At 37.5% G+C, this 20649-nt stretch overlaps 1 protein-coding gene across 27 annotated transcripts in view; it reads right to left on the minus strand.

Moving 5' to 3' along the window:
• The window catches only part of PDE1C (phosphodiesterase 1C), an 811448-nt gene that overhangs the window by 230256 nt on the left and 560543 nt on the right, over positions 1-20649 (minus strand). For all 27 annotated transcript variants that reach the window (XR_001744802.1, XR_001744803.1, XR_007060044.1 and 24 more), the window contains 3 exon segments: positions 17910-18050; positions 3609-3709; positions 936-1064 (listed from right to left, as the gene is read on the minus strand). Coding sequence is in view for 21 of the 27 variants with exons in the window: in XM_047420443.1 (XP_047276399.1) it covers positions 936-1064; positions 3609-3709; positions 17910-18050 (371 nt within the window). In the remaining 6 variants the exon portion in view is untranslated.

Raw genomic sequence — 20649 nt, forward strand, 5'->3', positions numbered from 1 at the left:
GGACTATTTGAGTCACAACGGATTCAGAGTTTTGTAAGGATTTAGATGATCTCTGCCTGCAGGGTTTGAAGTACCTTAACCTATATTTATAGCTACGATGATTTATTGGCTTGCTATATATGAGACAAAGTGTGCTAAGCATTTTAAAATGATTATGTCATTTATCATAATCTATCCCAACTGCAGAATAAATGTTACTATCTATTTTCAAGAAATTAAAATTTTAAAGATGTAAAGATATTGAGTCACTTCCCGAATGTCATACAGCTAGTAAGTGACTGAGTCCATATTCAAAACACAGGTATGTGCCTAAATCCAAACACACAATTTCTGTCATTCATGCAACAGAATTAAGTGTACATAATTTTTTTAAGTGTCCAATAATTTCCTTAGAAAATGTCAAAAGATTGATAAGAAGTCCAAATCAAATATAGGGTGAAAAACACATGTTATTAAATAAAAGATAAAATTCAGATTTAAGGAATTCAGATAAAAGCAACACAAGTTTCCTAAGGTTAAAAAAAAAAGCAAATATATCCAAAGTGTCCTCAGTTGAACACTGTTAGAAGTGATTTTTCAAACTTTCTTCTTTGAGAATTTTTAGGACAATATTGAATTATTTGACTCAAACTGGTTTCACTTCCCAATTCATCAATAAAAAGCAATGTAAAGATGGCAAAATAAAGTAGTTGGAACTTAATCATAACATTCCATAGCCTTTATTTATAAATATTTGAATATCTGTATAAAGAAAAAAGAGAAATAAGACATACATACATACACAAAGAGAGGGTGAGAGTGAGAGAAAGAAAGAGAGAGAAAGCAACACGAATCAACATTTTAAGCAAGGTGTTCTTTTCTCAAAAACAGCATACTTCATCCAACTTCAAAGTTCCTTCCCTGGCCTACAAATCTCTCTCTTTTCTCATCCTTACCTCCAGTCATCCTTTGAGAGGTTAATCAAAATATTCATTTCCTCGTCATCTTGCAGAAGGCGATAAGCTGCACTTAAATGGTGATTCTCCAGTACAGATCTGTCATTATACAGAATAGCTGGATCAGACCTGAACAGAAAGCCAAGCAAAATTCAGAATGTTAAACAGTTGTGATTTACTTGGGTAATTCTAACAGGCTAGAACGCACCACCACTTTTTTCCATGTTTAGAAATTATCTTTGTCCCCATGCCAGTTATATGAACCAAAAGCTCAACTAACACTACAAATCATCAATAGATGAATGTAGGGTATGTTATATCAGTACATGTGTGGGCAGGAAATATGTGACATCCAGCCTGAGAACTCTCTCAAAACTGTTTTACAACCAGATCTCAATTACCTATATTAGTTGCAAAGGTGTTTTTTTAAAAATATGGGTCATGTCAAACTTCTTTATATTTTCTGGAATGACATTTATTTTTATTTTTATTTTATTCAATGAATGCACTGGTTTATTTATTTTAGTTGTAATTTTCAGAACACATATCACCTGGTGGGTACTATCTGTAAGCTGCCTCTGATAGTGGCTTGATCTCAACATTTTTCCATGCAAAAGCCACATGTGGAAAATTGAGAATAAAGAATATAAAGATTATAATGTCAGTTTTTAGTTCCTATCTCAAAGACCATACTATAGCTGAATGTCACTAAACACACGACTGTATAATATTTTAAGATCTTAAATTTAATGAAAGCTTAGATTATTTGTTTCTCACCAAGGAAGCTGAGTTTCAGAGACTTAAAAAAACTTGTTAGAGCCCTTTGGTGGCCAAGTGGCAGGGCTGGGATGAAGGCAAGATCTTCTGACAGTTGGGCCAGTGCTTCCCCAAGATAACTTCCACCTGCCATTGGCCAAACTTTGGGCTGTATCTATCATACCTTGAAACTGTTAGGCTTAAAATTTTATTCATCAAAGGATTAAGGGCCTGGTCACAGACTTTGTTTTCTGAACAGGGATCACACAGGCTGAGAGGCTTTGGATAAAGTTCTGTTGAACAGGGCCAATGTTTAAATTTCATTCCAAACCAAGCTTAACTGAACACATTGGAATTTTCCCACTCCTATGGAGATAACGCAGAACATTCAAATCCCGAGGTGAAAGATCTGCTGTTACATCTGTTGAGTAAGTTAGATACCAACTGATGTATATTTCGTGACACTTTTCCACCTCCTGTAATAAAGCCATTCTCCTCTGTGTTGGGACTGGTTTTGATCCTCGTCTCCAGGCAAGACCCACATATGTTCAACCCACCTCTCTTCCTTGGGCAGGTGATATTCACCATGGTCTCTGTCCTCAGAGCAAAGGTTCCACCCACAGACATACATTAAACAGTGCTACTCTATGGAATTCCCTGTATTAAAGGGAATTCTGTTCCCTTGGAACACAACCACAAAAAGCTGCTTTTCTGTGGCTGAGACTAAGTGAGGAGGCAAGAAGGTGGAACTGAAGCAAGTAGCTGAAGTTCTTTTGTCTGCTTCCATTCAATTAAAATTCTCCTTCTGAACAGAGATCAGACAATATTGTCTTCTTTTGTGTATACTGTAATCAAGTGTTGAGTTCATTAAATACATGTAGATTGATTTAATGAACACAAACCTATCTAGAGTGTGCACCTGCTTTTTCAAGTGAAATCAGCAAGTATTTATTTGGTGTTAAACTCTCATCCCTCCCTGCTACATTCTTTCTCTTTGACTTACCACCTTTCCCCATACCCTAGCTCCTTTTGATTACTATGTCAAGGATAATGAACTAACTCTACTGTCAGACTCTCTCCAGTTCCACATCATTGTCTTAAGAGAGGGCAAGTTCTTAGGCTAGGAGAGGGCAAGGAAAGTTTTATCCTAAGTAGAAATGACAATTGACTGGTGCTATTGCCTGGAATTCTGTGCTGAGAGGAATACTCAGAATAAACCCACAGTTTAGTAAGAAAAAGTACCAAAATCAACTAACAGTATCTGTTACAGGTCAGGAGGTTCCGAGTGGGGCACTTGGACCCATATTTAATGTCTCCGACGGGAGGTTTGTGATTACCTGTGCAGTCCATTAGGAAGGATGCACAGGTTGCTCACGGTGAAAGTAGCCTACAGGAGACAAACTTACTCCCGGGGCCCTGTGCCAGGGAGTGGTGCAAGCACTAAACAGAGCAGATACGAAATCAGAGAGGATGAGAAGAGATCTCATCAGAATCTCAGAGATCAGAGGGTAAGATTGGTCAATGTTGTTAATGTCAACAAAAACACTCTAATCCTCACTGTCCTTATTCTTTTCCTTTATGTGTCATCTGGGCCTTTACGTAAACTGCCCCATTTCCTGTTAGAAGTAGGTCAAGTATGTACAGAACATACATAAACAAATAGCGAACATTAGAATAGAGAAGAAAAAGATATCTATATGAGATCTGAACAAAATAGGAGAATTAGGAGCAGATGGCTTCTTAAACTCTAAGTCTTGATTGAAGCTGATCAGACTGATCTCTCATTTAGAGGTTCATTGTTTCAGAAATTCAAAATAGGAAACCTATGCAAAAGAAAGGTGACTAACACCTTTCTGATTTCTAAAACTGTCTCTCTGACCCCTCTTGCCTCTCTTCCAAACATTTAAACACCCTCACCGAGTCTGAATGTGGAAATTGTTGGTGGTTCCGGTATGCTCGTAGTCATGGATGGCAGCTGAGAAGATTATAGCAAAGATCTCCAGCTCCGTCAGCCAGTTCTGAAAGGAGATTACAGAGCAATCAGATAATCTGTTTCTTTCTCAAAGTCTTCAGCTTGCTGACAACACACCCACAGTGCTGCCTTTCTACCCTGCAGCTGGTAAGCTATTGCCAAACACAAGTTTTCTGAGAGACAGAAATAAGTTATTTTCCTGTGAAGAGACTTGGAGACTTGTGATTTGTTAACAATGTGTTCAGCAAGGTTGAATAAGCTAAGTAGTAGTTTTATCTTTTTCAAGAAATCAAAGAGAATGAACATGAAGACTTGAAAAGCCCTCATTGCATCCTCCCCCAACTTCCAAATAAAGTTCCTAGGTAGACACACACACACACACACACACACACACACACACACACATAAAAAAATTAGAAATTTGAATGCAATACCAAGAATGAAGAGTAATAGAAAACCTAACGTCTGATTATAGGAGGATATCCACTAGGAAGTGGGTAGAGACAGATGGAAAAATACTGGCTTTCTGCTCTATGCATGCTGATGATGTTTGAAAGGACTTCTCCCCATCCACACCATCAACATTGGCTGTGGGTCAGTGGTTCACAAAATGTGTTCCTTGGACATGCAGATGGTGTCAGCTGGGAGCTTGTTAGAAATGCTGGCAAATTCTTCAGCCCCACCCCAATCTCACTGGATCAGAAACGCTAGGTTGTGGCCCAGCAATCTGTGCTTTACCAAGCCATCTAGATAGTTCTGATGCACACTAGAGTTTGAAAACTACTGCTGTGTTTCAAGCTTCCTTAACTGACTTCCATTTAACGGACTCTGTGGATTTACTTCCTATCGCTTCTGTAAACCATCCTGCCCCATGCTCACACGACAGAATATGCCTGACTCAGGCCACCTTCTCATATCCTTTGCTCACTTTTGCTACTAGTTAAATTCATGCCTACATGATTCAGTATGATTTATTCTAAACCACATTTTAATAAATTGTATTTGTTATTATAATTATGTAATTAAATATGACACAAACCAATAAAATATGGACACAAAATTGGAGTTGTTATTTCTGTAGAACCTAAGTTTAATGCTTTGGACAGTCACTAAAAGAACTGCTATCAAAATATGTGTGACAACTGTGAAAGAGCAGAACACATTTATAGAAAAGTTAGAGAGCTTCTGCACTCAGTTTGCTTCATGCACATCTTTAAGTTCCCACTTAACTTTAAAGAGATGAGACTAGAAATCTTAGATAGGGGCAGGGTTGATGTAAGACAAATGTGAGTATCCAAACTGGTGAACTCATAAAAGCCCTGTGGTCTGAATTAAAGATCAGTGCATAAAATAGATTCATATGATTTAAGTTAACGCAAAATGAGTTAAAATGAACATTTAAGTGTTTCTAATTTCCCACTTAAGCCATATCTTTCAATTAACTACTAATTTTGGAGAATTATTGCCTTCTTTAAAAATTGGTAAGGGGAAAATAAACAAATGACATAGAACTTATGAAAAATACTTCAGAGTGAGCATAAACATAACTCATGAAAAAATAAACCACTATACTTTTGAAAATGATTCCTAACAGAATCCAGCATGAAATGTCAGGAAGCTTTCTGGCATCTTCAATAATATACCTCAAAAACACAAATTGAGGTACACGGAACAGAAAGTCAAAGAGAAAACAGACTAAGATGAAAATCAACAAAATGAGATGAAAAAAAGATGGGCAAGATAAGGAAAGATTGCAAGAAAAATCAAAGCTGCAAAACCCCTTGTAAAGGCAGCAAAGAGCCTCCTCATCAGCCTCTTCATTGTCTCGGGGGGCCCCCCATGTGGCAGGCACTATGCTAGGTGCTTTTATATAGAAACTTATATAACTCTCACAGCTCTGTAATCATAGGTACTGTTGCTATCCCCACTTGACAGATAAGGAAACAAGCCAGGGGTAGGTGCAGGACTCACTCAAGGTCACACAGCCAGTCATCTGACAAGCCACACACCACGCCTGCAGAATTCTCACTCATAATCTTACATTGTATTTTCTTTGGATCATTGTTCATGTGTTTATTCAATTTTGCATAAAATTATATAGGCATAAATTTATATTGCACATTTTTCTTGATATTATCCATACATATATTACATATGCAGTTTTTTTTCCATTTTGGCATTGTCTTTCTTTTCTTCCCCAATATTTTGTCCCCACCCATCTGTCCCTGGTTCCCTCTACCTCCTCTCCCACATATATCTCTTATTCTAAGGTCACGTAAAGTTAATTTCACTTTTTAAAATAAGATTATGAATGGGAGACAGTGTAACATCTCAACGAATCCTAGTCACAGAACATCAGCCCAGGCAGCAGAAAGCATCTAAATAACAGTATAATTACAGTTCTCACATTACAACCATAGTGATGCTTCCCTCCTTACCCAAATAATTGAACAAAATCCTATCTTAGATATAACCTACTTCTATTAAACCAAAAACAATGAATGGTTAAACAGGCATTCAACAACAACAACAATAAAAAACAAAACCATTGTCTTTAAAACTCATTTTACCACCTTAGTTTTTCAACAAACGCCATGCATGCTTAGAATCAGTTATGCTGCTTTGGGGATAAGAAGAAAGAAAAGTAGTATCTGGGAGAAACAGCTTCACAGAGGAGAGATGTTTAAGATGGGCCTTGAAAATTTGACAGAGAAAGAAATGAAGGTGGGCATTTTCAGAAGAATGAACTAAATGAGCAAGTCCCAGCAGCAAAAGCATGTCCACCTCAGGTAAGAAAATGATGCCCTTGACTGGAGCGGGAGAGAAGGCTGATTGAGGCCCTATGAGGTCAGGCATTAGAAAACACAGTGAGCGAGGAATGTAAACCAGATTCAGCAGGCAGTGAAGTTCACACGCAAGAGAGTCATGCCATCAGCTCCCCACTTCAGGAAGGATATTTGGACAGGAGGAGAGAAGGGAGATAAAAAGCAGGGTTTTTTTGTTTTCGTTTTGTTTTTGTTTTTGTTTTTTTTTAAACAGGGTCTCACTCTGTTGTCCGGGCTGGAGTATAGTGGTGCAATCTTGGCTCACTGCAACCTCTGCCCCCAGGGCTCAAGCAAACCTCCCACCTCAGCCTCCCAAGTAAGGGCTGGGACCATAGGCACCCACTGCCATGCCCAGCTATTTTTTTTTTTTTTTTTTTGTATTTTTAGTAGAGATGGGAGTCTCACCATGTCGCCCAGGCTGGTCTCTAACTTCTGAGCTCAAGCAATCCACCAATCTGGGCCTCCCAAAATTCTGGGATTATAGGCGTGAGCAACTGTGCCTGGCTAAAAGCTGTATTTTTAGATTGAAAAGTTCATATAGGATGTACAGACAGTGTGGAGGTAGAAGCCATATGACTTAGCAATTATCTGAATTTTGGAAGTGGTAGGAGGACCAGATGAGGTTGCAGTTAAGGAGAACAATATGTTAGATGACCTCAACACTCCTAGCCTCACTGAGTGGCTAATAAACCCCTCAGGTGATATTAGATAGCATCATTAACAGAAACAGAGAAAGTGGGAGAAGCTATTTTGGAGGAAATTGAACTTCCTATTTTAATATACCTCAGATTTCCTTGCCTCTTCCAAATTAACTACTGTGAACCCAGAAGGTTTTATGTCAACCCATAAGAAGTCAGAAATTAAAGTCCCACTGGTATTTTATTCCAGAATTACCAATTGGTGGCAAGGTACAAGTCACAGATGCTATCAGTATTTTCCTATCTACAAAATATGAGTGTCACAACTAGTTCATTTGAAAGGATGCTTTGACAAGTGGTAATTGGGGACCTTGAGTTTTGCTGTGTATGACTCAAGAAAGCAAGCCACTTGTTCCCGCATATAGGGGCAGATGAGGAGACATGGGGTACAACAGAGCAGAGGAAACCTGAAGGGAAAGGACATGGCCAATTTCTCATTGTTAGAGGAGATACTACAAGCAAGTTGTGACTTTTCTATGTGAATGATAGAGTTTCTTTAGTAATCTGTTAGTTTTCCATGCTACCTTAACAAATGCTCAGTCTTGGAGGCTTAAAGAACACTTCCGGGCCTGGCGAGGTGCCTCATGCTTATAATCCCAGCACTTTGGGAGGCCAAGGTGGGTGGATCACCTGAGGTCAGGAGTTCAAGACCAGACTGGCAAACATTGTGAAACCCCATCTCTACTGAAAATACAAAAATCAGCCGGGTGTGCTGGCGGGTGCCTGTAATCTCAGCTACTCAGGAGGCTGAGGCAGGAGAATCACTTGAACCCAGGAGGCGGAGGTTGCAGTGAGCTGAGATCACACCACTGCACTCCAGCCTGGGTGACAGAGCGAGACTCCCTCTGTCTAAAAAAAAAAAAAAAAAAAAAACTTCCGTTTATTGGCACGCAGTTCTGCCAGTCAGAAGCCCAGGCCAGTGTGGATGGGTTCTCTGGTCAGGGTATCCCAAGGCTGACATCAAGGTTGGGAAAGGTTTCCTTTCTGGTGGCTCTGGGGGAAAATCTGCTCCCAAGAGTATTCAGGGCATTGGCAGAATTCATTTCCTTCTAACCTTTTCCACAGTTTCCCTCTTCACCTTCAAGCTGGCAATGACTGTTGGGTCCTTCTCACACTTCAAACCTCTGACTTTGGCCATATCTCCTTGACTTTGATGAACTTGTGTGATTACATTGGGCCCACCTGGAAAATCCAGGCTAATCTCCCTATTTAAATTCTTCTGATTGTTAGCCTTAATTGCATCTGCAAAATCTCTTTTATAATCCAATGTAACATATTAATAAACACATGTGACACCAGAGAACAAAGGTTGCAGGAGCCAAATGTCTACCAATAACAACCCCAATAAAATTATTTGGCACTCTTCAAACAAAATGTAATTTTGATATCCTTAGTCTTTCCTGTTAATACATTGATATTATGTATTAATATGTTAATAATATGACATTATGGTAATGTCATAAACGACCAAAAAAATAAAAAATAAAATAAATAAAAAATAAAAATAAAAAAATAAAAAATAAATAATAAATAAAAAATAAATAAAAATAAGATATGCAGCTTCTCCTTTCTGGAAAAAAAAAAAAAAAAAGACAAAGGGAAAATTACTGGCACCTTGCTTGACAAAAGCAAGGAAAATGGCCAAGGGATAGCTTTGGAGTTTGAAATCTTTTCACCTAAATCAAAAGTACACTAGAGCTTAGAATCTAATGAACATCTATTCAATCAATAGATAGCTCTTCAATTTATTTCTGTCTAAGGATTTTCTCTTGGAAATGAGCAAAATAATTCTGAAAGGATCCAAGTATCTTCTAGGCACTTAAGTTAAACAATAATGAGTAATACAAACAGATTACAATGTTTTACATTTACAAAGTATCACTGTTGATGTTGAAGCCCAGACACCACTTTATCAATGGGTTGTTTTGATTCTCTACGTGTCTTACAATTTATAACACTGAAATGATTTAAAGCGTTTTCTCCCTCTTGGTTTGTAATGAAAGGTTAGAGTAACAGTATGTTCTCCATTCATCAGAATGCTCCCCACTGTTTTTGTAAGCTCACAATGAAAGAAGTTTGTTTTGAGCTGCATTTCAAAGAGAGAGTAGGTAGGAAATAGTTTCTATATTTAAGAATCATTCTAAATATGGTCTGAATCGATCACGGAAATTCAACGGCAAATGAGAAATGAGCTCATTTAAGAAAGCATGCAGTAAATCATGATCACTGCTATGATACAACATTTATGTTAATGATAACTTGTATTGGCATAAATGCTGGGTGTTTTTGGTGAGAGTTGAAGAAGCTGTGCATGATTCACTTTTATGTCCCCAGAGTACACTCTGCACAATAGGTGTGTTGAATAGATGAGTTCAAAGTGCATTTTTGCATCCATTTTCATCCTCATCACAATACGTGGAAGTAAGTGCACATGAGGATACTGAGGTGTAAGAATATAAGAGGCTTTTTTTTTTTTTTTTTGCCAAAGGCATATTGTAGAAGCATGCCTAATATTTAAATGCATGGCCTCTGAAGTCAGAGCTGGGACCGAATTCTGGCTCCCGTACTGTACTCAGTTGCTCGGGCTGCCATAACAAAATAACACGGGCTGCGTGGCTTAAACAACGGAAATTTATTTTCTCACGTTTCTGGAGGAGAAAAGTCCAAAATCAAGGTGTCAGCAGGACTGTTTTCTCCTGAGACCTCTCTCCTTGCCTTGCAGACAGCTATATTCTCTCTGTATCCTCACAATGGACCCTTCTACCTGCAAGTGCATGTCTGTGTTCTAATCTCCTCTTTCTCTAAGAACACCAGTCATAATGGATTAGAGCCCATCCATACAACTTTATTTTACCTTAATACCTCTTCAAAGGCCATCTCTCCAAATACAGTCCCATTCTGAGGTCCTGGGGACTAGGATGTCAATATATGAATCAATGAGAAATACAATTTAGCCCATATAGCTACTTTGTAATAGAATAATTTTAATTTCTATGAATTAGAGATTTATCTTCCTTAAAATAAGAATAATATTACTTGTAATGGGAATCACTTTTGATTGCCCAACTGCCCTTTTTTTCCTTACTAACAATGTCTCTGATTTTGTTTGAGATGGCAGTGTGTCAGACTTCCCTATATATCGCAGTGGCCATGAGACACAGTTCTGGCCAATAAAACAGAAGTGAAAGTTGCTGGTTCGGATTTCTGGATAGCTCTTTAAAAGTGGGCAGATTTATTTGGTTTCCAACTTTTGTGCTTTGTATTCTGCCTTATCTTCTTACCTGGATTTGCAAAGGTACATCAGCCATTTTACAAGCATAAGGACAAGAGCTACAGTCAAAGAGGTGGGAAGGACACTGAGAAGACTGTTGCTGATGAAGAGCTGCCATGCCCTCCCTAGAAGTCTCTCTGGACAGACCACACAAACACAGAGGACACCCACACCCCTGACCCATCTAACCCACCTGGACATTCACTTACAAATATGTTCCAACAACCAAACTTCACTAGACATTTTGAGGGAAAAAAGCCAATAGTGTAAGAAGATTCTCATAAACAAATAGCATATTCCCCATCAGTTAAAAGAGATAATTCTGTTTTTAAAAAGACTTTTAAAGGAAGTTTTCAAAACGTGTAGGTACATTCATAAATATGTAAGTTTGCTAAGACAATAGCACATTCAAAGGGCAAAAAAAGAGGAGTTCCTGAAATTAAAAATATTGCTAACTAAAAATGTTAAATAAACAGGTTGAATAACTAGAAGGACATATCGGAAGGCCAAACTGATAATGTGGAAGAAAGAGTTGAGGACATCTCTCAGGAGGTATCATTAAAATACCGAAAGACTGGAAAACATGGGAGAAGCTAAGAGGTATGAAGATGCATTCAGAAGGTCTAAGAGAAGTGCCAGAAGCAGACAGAAGAGAAAACAGACAGGGAGAAATAAATAAATAACAGAGAGTGTTTGGCTTTCTTCTTTCCAAGCATATAGTAGGATTAGACTTTCTGGCCCCTTTATGGTTGGGAGGGACTGTGTGAGTCATTTTGGCCAGTGAGTTGTGAGCAGAAGTGATGAGCAGAGTTTCTGAGCCATAGAATTTAAATACAGATATAGGAAAACCAGAGCCCCTTTCTCTCTACCATAATGCCTGACAACACTCAGGAGGGTGGCTGTTTAGAAAACCTAGGCCCTTGGAGTGAGAATGACACAGGCAGATTCTTTAACTTACTGTTACGGGAAGTGAAAAAAAGCAGATATTATTTCTAAACCATTGAGATTTGGGGATTGTTTGATCCTGTAGCAAAATACAGCCTACCCTAAGGAAAACACTCCAAATGAATGAAACCCTTAGGAGTGAAGAAGATGCATTCTCCCACTAATATGTTACCTTATGTTATTTTTAAGAAAGTCTATATATAAGGTCATACAATTAAAAGGCAATCACAAGTTTTGAAATATTTCACATATATGACAAGTGTTGCTAGTCATGATTACTTATGTTTAGTAATAATAATAACTATCATTTACTAATATTCTACTGTATGCTAGGCATTAGGTAATCATTTTTATTAAGAATACTGAGAAATTCAAACATTTTCTCAGCAAAATATTAAGTTCTCAGGAATGGAGATGTTATAACCAAAGAAAATAAAAGTGGTTAATACATAAGGAAAATGTTTAATTTACTAGTATTAACAATAAAAAGTAAAAACACACACATATGAAACTTTAGTGGGAAAATATTGCTATGCAAGGAGGCTAACCAGAATATCATTTACAGTAGTGAAAAAAAATTTTAACTGTTTAAGTGATAGAATAACCCAATAATGAACTATTAAGATTTTCTTATAATAAATATATAATGACATAGGGAAACTATCATAATATATGATGTATTGACTATATATATATACTATATATATAGACTATATGTATATTGACTATTGACTATGTACATTTATGATTTATTGACTATATATAGACTATATATATATGTAAACAGCCTATATACATATAGAGAGAGTGAGAGAGAGTCAGGATCACAGTATTAGAGACTTATTTATCCTGTTTGTTTCAATAAATCCCAGTATTATAGACTTATTTATCCTATTTGTTTCAATAAATAGGACATTGGCCATATATATAGCCAATGGTACAATAATGTACAATGTACAGTAATGGCACAATATCCTATATAATATAGAATATATTATATATCCTATAACTTTAATAATATAAATAATATAAAGTTATATCATAGGATATATGATATAATATAATGTTACAATAGCCTGTAATGTTATATCCAATATCCTAAAATGTTCACAGCTCACTTTACCTAAGTAATGGTCTCATAGAGAAGTAATTTTACAAATAACATTTAAACAATGTTTAACTGTTTAAGTGATAGGATGACCCAATAAGGGTCCATAAGATGATCCCACTACTGGGATGACCCACTAGTGTTAACAAACAAAAACTTCAAACAATACAGATATAAAGTTCCCTTTGGCCATTACTTCAGGATGAGAATCTCCCCAGAGGTAACCACTATCTTCAATTTACTGTTTATCTTTTTAGATGTTTTTCAATATACTTTCATATATATCTATGTGTATATACATGTGCTATGTTTAATAATATACATCATGTAGAACATATTTTTCTACAACTTTTTAAACTGAATAATACATCTTGAATTTTAGTCATAGAAATCTATGGTATTCCAGAGTTCTAACTCCCTATTGATAGGTATATACTCCGTAATTGTTCACTATGGCAAACATTGCTACAATGAACCTGATTGTATAGGCCTCCCTGAGTACACTTGGAAGTGCTGGAGGATTGGTATGTATATTTTTCCTTATAGTAATCACTGCAAAATTGTTTTCTTATATGACTATACCAATTTACCCTCAGATGAGCAGTATATGAGAACATAATTTCTTCTCAATCAGTGGTTCTCAACCTGGGACAATTGCCCCTCCAACCAGTGGTTTATTTGGCAAGGTCTGGAGACATTATTGGTTGTCATAACTGGAGTGGGGAGTAGTGCTACTGGCATCTCGTGACTACAGGTCAGGCATACTGCTACACTACAATGCATAGAAAAGCAACAAAGAATTATCTGGCCCCAAACGTCAATAGTGCTGAGGTTGAGAAACCCTGCTCTACATCCTAACCAACAGTTAATATTATCACACTTTCAACATTTTTACCCATATGTATATAATGGATTAAAACTGTATAAGTTTATATATCCTTAGATACTAATGAATGGTGCATCTTTTCATATTTCTTTTATTGATTAAATGTATTACCTTTTCTGTTAATTGCCTGCTCATACTGTTTGACTGAATTTGTGTCATTTTCCTGATTCATTTATACAATCTGGATCTTAATCTATGTTCTCTATGTATTTTCTCCAAATGCTTACTTCATTAATTTGTTTATGATGCTTTTTATCCTACAAAAGCTTTTAACTTTAATGTATTCAAATTAATCAATATTTTGTTGTATAACTTTTGTGTTTAAAAGCTTAATTTTAAAAAGAATGTCTTTTTTCAAGGCCATAAACATATTCTCATTTTTTCTTCTAATATGATCAAATTTTTACTTTTGTACTTACATCTTTAATTCATTTGTCAGATTTTTTGGGGGTGAATGACTCGAAGTAGAGTGAAAGCATTCTCTTTTTTCTAAATAAATAACTGTAGCCAAAACATTTTTTAAACTGGGTGATTTTCCCTATTAAGTTGTCTATAGTCATGTCTTCATGTTCTCACCTGCAATTTTTTTTCTTCATTATACTCTAGTCAGTGTTCCATTCTCACCAAACCACTGAGATGACTCATGTCAAGGTCAACAATGACTTCCATGTTGCCAGAGTGAATGGTCATTTCTCTGTCCTTATCTTACTTGACCATCGGCATGTCCCATGCAATGCACCACTCTCTTCTTGAAGCATTCTCTTTCCATGGCTTCCATGGCCCCAAACTCCCTTGGTTTATACCCCATGTCACTGGCCACTCTTTTTTAGTTTCTATTGTTGGCTCTAATTCTTTGCCTTCATTTTGATCTTTGGAGTGTTCCAGGACTCACTTCAGAGCCCCTTCTAACTATCTATTCACTCTGTCTTTAGATAATCTCATCTAGTTCCATGTCTTCTTATACTATTGATATGTCCAAGACTACCTAATCTACATGTTTATCCCTGATCTCCCCTGGAACTCTAGCACCCTTTTTCTTTCTGCTTGGCCTCTGTAAATGGATGTCTACTACGGATCTTAAACTCTACATGTCTAAATCAGAATTCTTGATCCCCTTTCCTCCAAAACTTGGTTTGCCACCAGGCATTCTTGTCAACTGTTTATCAAACCAAGAATCTAAGATGTATTCTCGATTCCCCTCTTTAATGTTCCAAATCCTATTCACCACAGCAGTCCTTTGAACTCTGTCTCAGAAACAGCACTTTCTTCTCTCCATCCCAGCAGCATCCTTCCTAGTCCAAACTATCAGCATCTCTTCACTAGACTTCTGCAGAATTTTCCTAGCAGGCTGCCTTAAAATCCATTCACCACAGTAATCCTTTTTGAATCTTTATCAGGTCACATCACTTCCCTGTCTAAAACCCTGTAGTGGCTTCCTACTGACTGCACTTAGGATAAAATTGGAACTCATTAGCGTGGCCTGTAAAGCCAGACCTGATCTAGCTCCTGCTTCTTCCTCAGCCTCATAATGCACCACTGTCCCCATCATGTGCTGTTCCCACTAGGCTTGCCTTACTTCTGCTCCTTGAATGTAGCAAAGTTATTCTCTTACAGGACTCTTGTACTAAAACCCTGCACTAACTCTGTGGTCACACTCTTCTTTCACTCTTAGCATGGCTGAAGCCAAAAAACACAATTATCTCAGCTTAAATACTATCTCCAGAGAGAGTCCTTTCCTGACTATGTAATAAAACACCCAGCTTTCCCTGGGTAGGTCCTCTATTTTAATTCTCTACAGAGTATTAATAACATTTTCTTGATTGCTTCCCATTGGTCTCTTCTATCTGTAACTTCACACCAGAATGTTAAGTTCTACAAGAGTACTGATACCCTCTTAACTTGTCCATTATCTTAGTCCATTTGGGTAGCTGTAACTGAATGCTATAGGCTGGGTGACTTATAAACAACAGAAATTTATTTCTCACAGTTCTGGAGGCTAGGAAGCTTAAGATACTGAATGCCATAGGCCGGGTGACTTATAAACAACAGAAATTTATTTCTCACAGTTCTGGAGGCTAGGAAGCTTAAGATCAAGGCGCTGGTAGATTTGGCATCTGGTGAGGGCCTGCTTCTGGATTTATAGATGACTGTGTCCTCACATGGCAGAAGAGGGAAGGGAACTCATTTTTATAAAGGCACTAATCCCATTCACGACAGCTCCATGCTCATGACCTGGTCACCTCCCCTAGGCCCCACTACCTAATACCATCACATTGGAAGTTAGGATTTCAGCAGAGGAATTTGGGAGAACACAAACATTCAGTCTATAGTATCCCATAATAAAGGACCCAGCATATAAGTTCTCAATACACATTTGGGTTTATTTTTTGAAACTCTAATCAATTCTATTGATATATTTGCCTATTTTTTCACAAGCAGCACATGCTCAGCTTCAGTATGTATTGTAATATCTAAGAGAGTAAGAACTATTCCCTATTAGATTGTTCTTTTACAAAATTGTCTTTTCTAAGGTTGTGAAATACCTATTTTACATGAATTTCAGATTCAGATTATCATGTTTCATATTAAAATCCTTGAAACTTTGAATAGTATTGCTTTGAATTTATAGATTACTTTGAGGGAAACTGACATCTATATAGTACTGAGGTTTCACTCACATTAAAAACATGATGCCTTTTCCATTTATTTAAAGATCATTTTTGTGCCCTTTGATTTAATTTTAGTTTCCTTTTTATTGTTTTTGAGGCTCTTTATAGGTGATTTATATACTTTTTAAAAACTGCTGGGAATGTACATTTTTCTATTACACTCGTTAATTTCCAGTGCATAGGAGAGCTCTTTTGTCTAGACCTATCGAGGTATTTTATTTGATCTAAAAGGGCTTTATTTTCTAAAGGAGATGATCACATTATTTCACAGAATATATCTTCAACTTTTGAAGATATCATATTGCATACTGCATTCTTGAGGCTGAGACTTCCAGAAAAATGCCAAGTAGGAATATTAATGTGGGTATCCCTGTCTTGCTCCATGTATTCACGGAACCATCATTCAATATGATGCTTGCTCTAAATGTTTGGTAAAAATCTTTTATTGAGTTAAAAATGTTCCCTTTATAATCTTGTTATAACTTTAAAGATAGTGTTTTAAATACTATTTTTAAGAAATCAGCTTTATAATAAGGAAGAACTGAAAAAATGATCATAGGTTTTACAAAAATTCTGCAACGTTTTAACAATAATGCCTAATTGTTGAGCTTCCTTTATGAGGCAGAGTACTTAATATTTTTGATACTTTATTCTAACCATCAGAGCACTTCTACAAAGTGGAATATTTTTCACCATTTTAAAAAAATGAGGAAGTTTTCGCTCAGAGACTCAAGTAATTTATCATAGGTCACAATATCTAGTAAGCAATTAGGCAGGGATTTATAGCCACTGTATCTAGCTCCAAAGCCCACAATCCTCCCACATATTCCATTTTTAATTCAGTGAGATATTAGGCCAAGTCTTTCAACAGTCACTGGAGGAAAAGATAACAAATGTGCCCTGGATTTATGGGATAATTGATAACTATACCCAAAGTATGTCTATCTTAATGCCAATTCTAAAGGAGATTTCGAAGTAAAAATTCATACAGACCTGTTTTTGCCTTTAATGGCTATATCTTTTTAAATGAATGGCTTACATCAAGGAAAAAAAGAAAAAAGCAAAGACAACCAAGTTGAGCAGGTCAGTAAACACAGAACACAGATTCAAAAACAACTGAAGATGGTGCACGCCCATAGTCCCAGCTACTCAGCAGCCTGTGATAGCAGGACCACTTGAGCCCAGGAGTTCGAGGCTGCAGTGAGCTATGATCTCACCATTGCACTCCAGCCTGGGTGATAGACTGAGATTTCCATGTCTTAAAAAAAAATTTTTAAAGCAAAACCAAAAACATCTAAAGCGCTAAAATGTTGGGCCAAAAGAAGCAAGGAACATTTCAAATGGTTAGAAGTAAAGATTTACCATTAGGTTAAAATAATGAAAGGCATACAAATAGGATGTGAATAACTATAGTCCCTGTGAAAAAGACTTAGTGGCTTAAACCAAAAGCTAACTTTGCGTAACACGGTTGCCAAGTACATTGAATACAATTTCAGTATACATGAATATCATTGTTATTGACCATAGCAAAAGGTTAACAGTACCACTCTCCATATCTAGAAATACATATTTAGTTGTAGTCTTTATATTTAAATTGGTTATAACCCAGTGAAGACGCAAATCACTACTAGGTATTTATCTCATCAGGCTCAGGATGGAGAAAATTTCAGAGGCAACGGAGAACTCCAAGACTTTCCATATTGGTTAGATTACTCCTGGGAAACAGGAAGTCCATAAAACAATGCATGACTCGTGGCCTCCACCTCATCAGAATTGGAACAGTCACCATTAAAAACTCATCCTTACATCTTTTGGGGAACCTAAGAGTTCCTATCCCTACTTACCGCCACTCCTGTCTTATAGAGGAGGTAATGCACTGTCTGTGTAACATCGGCAGCGTGCATTAAGTTATGGTAAGGATTTTTGTGCTTGCTGTATCCCACTTCCAGGGCCTCCACAAATGAGACAAGTGCAGAAATGGGGATCTGAAAGAGAGCAGTAAGGTTAATTAACTAGTGACTTCACTGCTTTCAATGGAGACACAGAAGTCTAAGGCACCAGGACTGCTTTTTCTCTGAAGGCATAACACATGAGGAAATTGGAACTTACACAGTTAATAAAAATTACTGACAAAATTATCAGATAATTTGAAAATCTAACAGGAAGTCCTTGGTTGAGAAATAGCCTGCCTTGTAAATTTTTCTTTGTTGCTCATTTTAGAATCCCTGAGAAATGACATCTGATCATTTTAAGATACTTAGTTTTAGTAACATGTAAAGCAGTAATTTTTAATACACACATAGAAAACTGAGTTGTTGGTGACTATGTTAATTTTCTGTATTTCCTTGTCCTCCTCTACTCTTAAATACCCTTCCCCTCTAACCCTAAGGGAAAAAAAGATGCTACATAGGACACCAAACAATGTTGTAAATAACACTGAGGAATTCAAAAATAATACTAATAATTAGTAACCATTTGTGGAATCATTCACTATTTGTAATGTAGTATCAGTAGAATGAAATCTTCCAAATTCCAAGTCACTAACAATAAATTGCCAAGTAACAAACATAAGAACATAGCCTGTTTCTGTTCCCATATATAACAGACTATCGCATTTTGGTTTTGAGTTTTGTTTTTGCTTGGTTTTGGGTTTTGATTTTGTTTTGTTTTTCTTATGTGTCCAATGTATATAACCACTCCTTTCAAAGGGCATTGTTTTCAGGCAGTTTATATTTGTTTTGCAATAATTTTATAACTTAAGATTTTTGTGCACTTTGTTTTCCTACAAATGAGATATGCTGCATAGTATGTATTCATTTATTTCTCAACGAATAAAATACTTCAGTCTTTATTTGCAACTACCAGTCACTCAGAATATTTCCAATTAGATTAATTGTTTTGTCGTCTGAAATATGTATAATATACATGCCTTCCTTTTCTATGTAACAGCGAAGAACATTGCAAAATGCATATACAAAATAAGGGCATCCAGAAAACTTTCATTGTATTAGTTTTCTGGATCCATTCCATGGTTCAGGGTAAATTATACAATATAAGGCTAGGGGAAAAGGAGAGGATATGTCTTCCTGAGGATTAACAATTACATTTGTGAAAAAAAAATAAGGAAAATGCTAAGTTAATACTCCTGAGATTCCATAATCTGTTCTCCCTTGGTCATATTCTTCCATTTTACCATTTGCAGAATTTTAAAAATTAAAATACAACCTTTAAGAGGTCAGAGATGAATTCATTACCATTTTTAAAAATAAAGATCCAATGAACCTGGGCTCCTTGGGTTGTTTCACAGAGATCTAAGAGTCGCTGAAAGGGCTGTGTGTGTGCACAGGAACTTTGTTCCAAGGAAAGTCTCCAGCATCCTCTCCAGCATCCACAAGATTTTCATACAGATTTCCGATGCAAAGAAAAATTAAGGACCTAAGGACCATGGCCATGAAGTATTTGTGGTCATGTAAAGACATATTTCCTCAGTGGGAGGGGCTTCAAGATGGCTAACTATAGGCATCTGGCACTCACCTCCTCCACAAAAAAGAACCAAAATAGCAAGTAGATAATCACATTTCAAATAGATTATCCAACACTAGAATTCAACAGAGAAGTAAGAGGAAACACCTAAAGCAAGGAAGGAGAGAGAATCAAGGCATGGATTGGCTGGAATCCTGGAGAGGCTATCTCTCCAGCGAAAAGAAAGGTAAGTGAGTGATGGCTAGCAGTCCACATTCCCACCTTGGACTCCTGTATCCTAGCCACCAGAAAGCCCCTAAACCCTGGCAGACCCTGAGACTAAGACAGGGAGCTGTCTGGAGATCACATGAAGACATTGCTCCATACAGGGAGCTCATGCTGGGTCCCACACATCCCCTAACCCCCTACCCAGCTACAGCAAGGCACCATATTGAGAGCCCAGCCCCCACCAGACTGCATACTACCTGGGGGCTCAATAGTCCTTGTATCCCCATAACTCTGGAGCCCCATTGACATTCTCTGCCTGCAGCCACAACTGTGGCTGGCTGTTGCCTCCAGGGATGAAGTATGAACCATCAGCAAAGACTGCACTGCCCCCAGGAACAAACCCACCATGCAAGTTCATGCACCCTAAGGACAAAACCCCCCACCTGCAGCAGCTTCCATGGAGGGCTGCTGCAGCCATGACCAAAGCACAAGTGAAGTGCATGCTCCCCAGCCACCCGTATACAGCTGCTGCCACTGAAAGCAACAATACCCTCCACAGTAGCAGGGCTGCAGATCCAACAGGCCCAGTTCCACACCTTCCAGTGCCTCAACACACCATCTGGGGGCCTGAGGATAGCCCAGTCCAGTCCACTACTATTGGGAACTGAGTACTCATCTCAAGCACCTGAGGTCAGGCCCACTCAAACTGATGCTGCCATCACAGCTGGCACCCACCTATACATGCCACCTGTGAGCCTGGAGACTGGCCCACCTAGCCTGTTGTAGCCACCTCTATGATGCTTGGAACTGAGGGGTTAGTCTCACCACTGCTACTTCCAATGCTCATGCCATGCCTACTGTTCAGGGGACTGAGAAGCCCCCAATCCACTTGGC

The sequence above is a fragment of the Homo sapiens genome, chromosome 7, assembly GCF_000001405.40.
Source record: "Homo sapiens chromosome 7, GRCh38.p14 Primary Assembly".
In the NCBI taxonomy this organism is placed as follows: domain Eukaryota; kingdom Metazoa; phylum Chordata; class Mammalia; order Primates; family Hominidae; genus Homo; species Homo sapiens.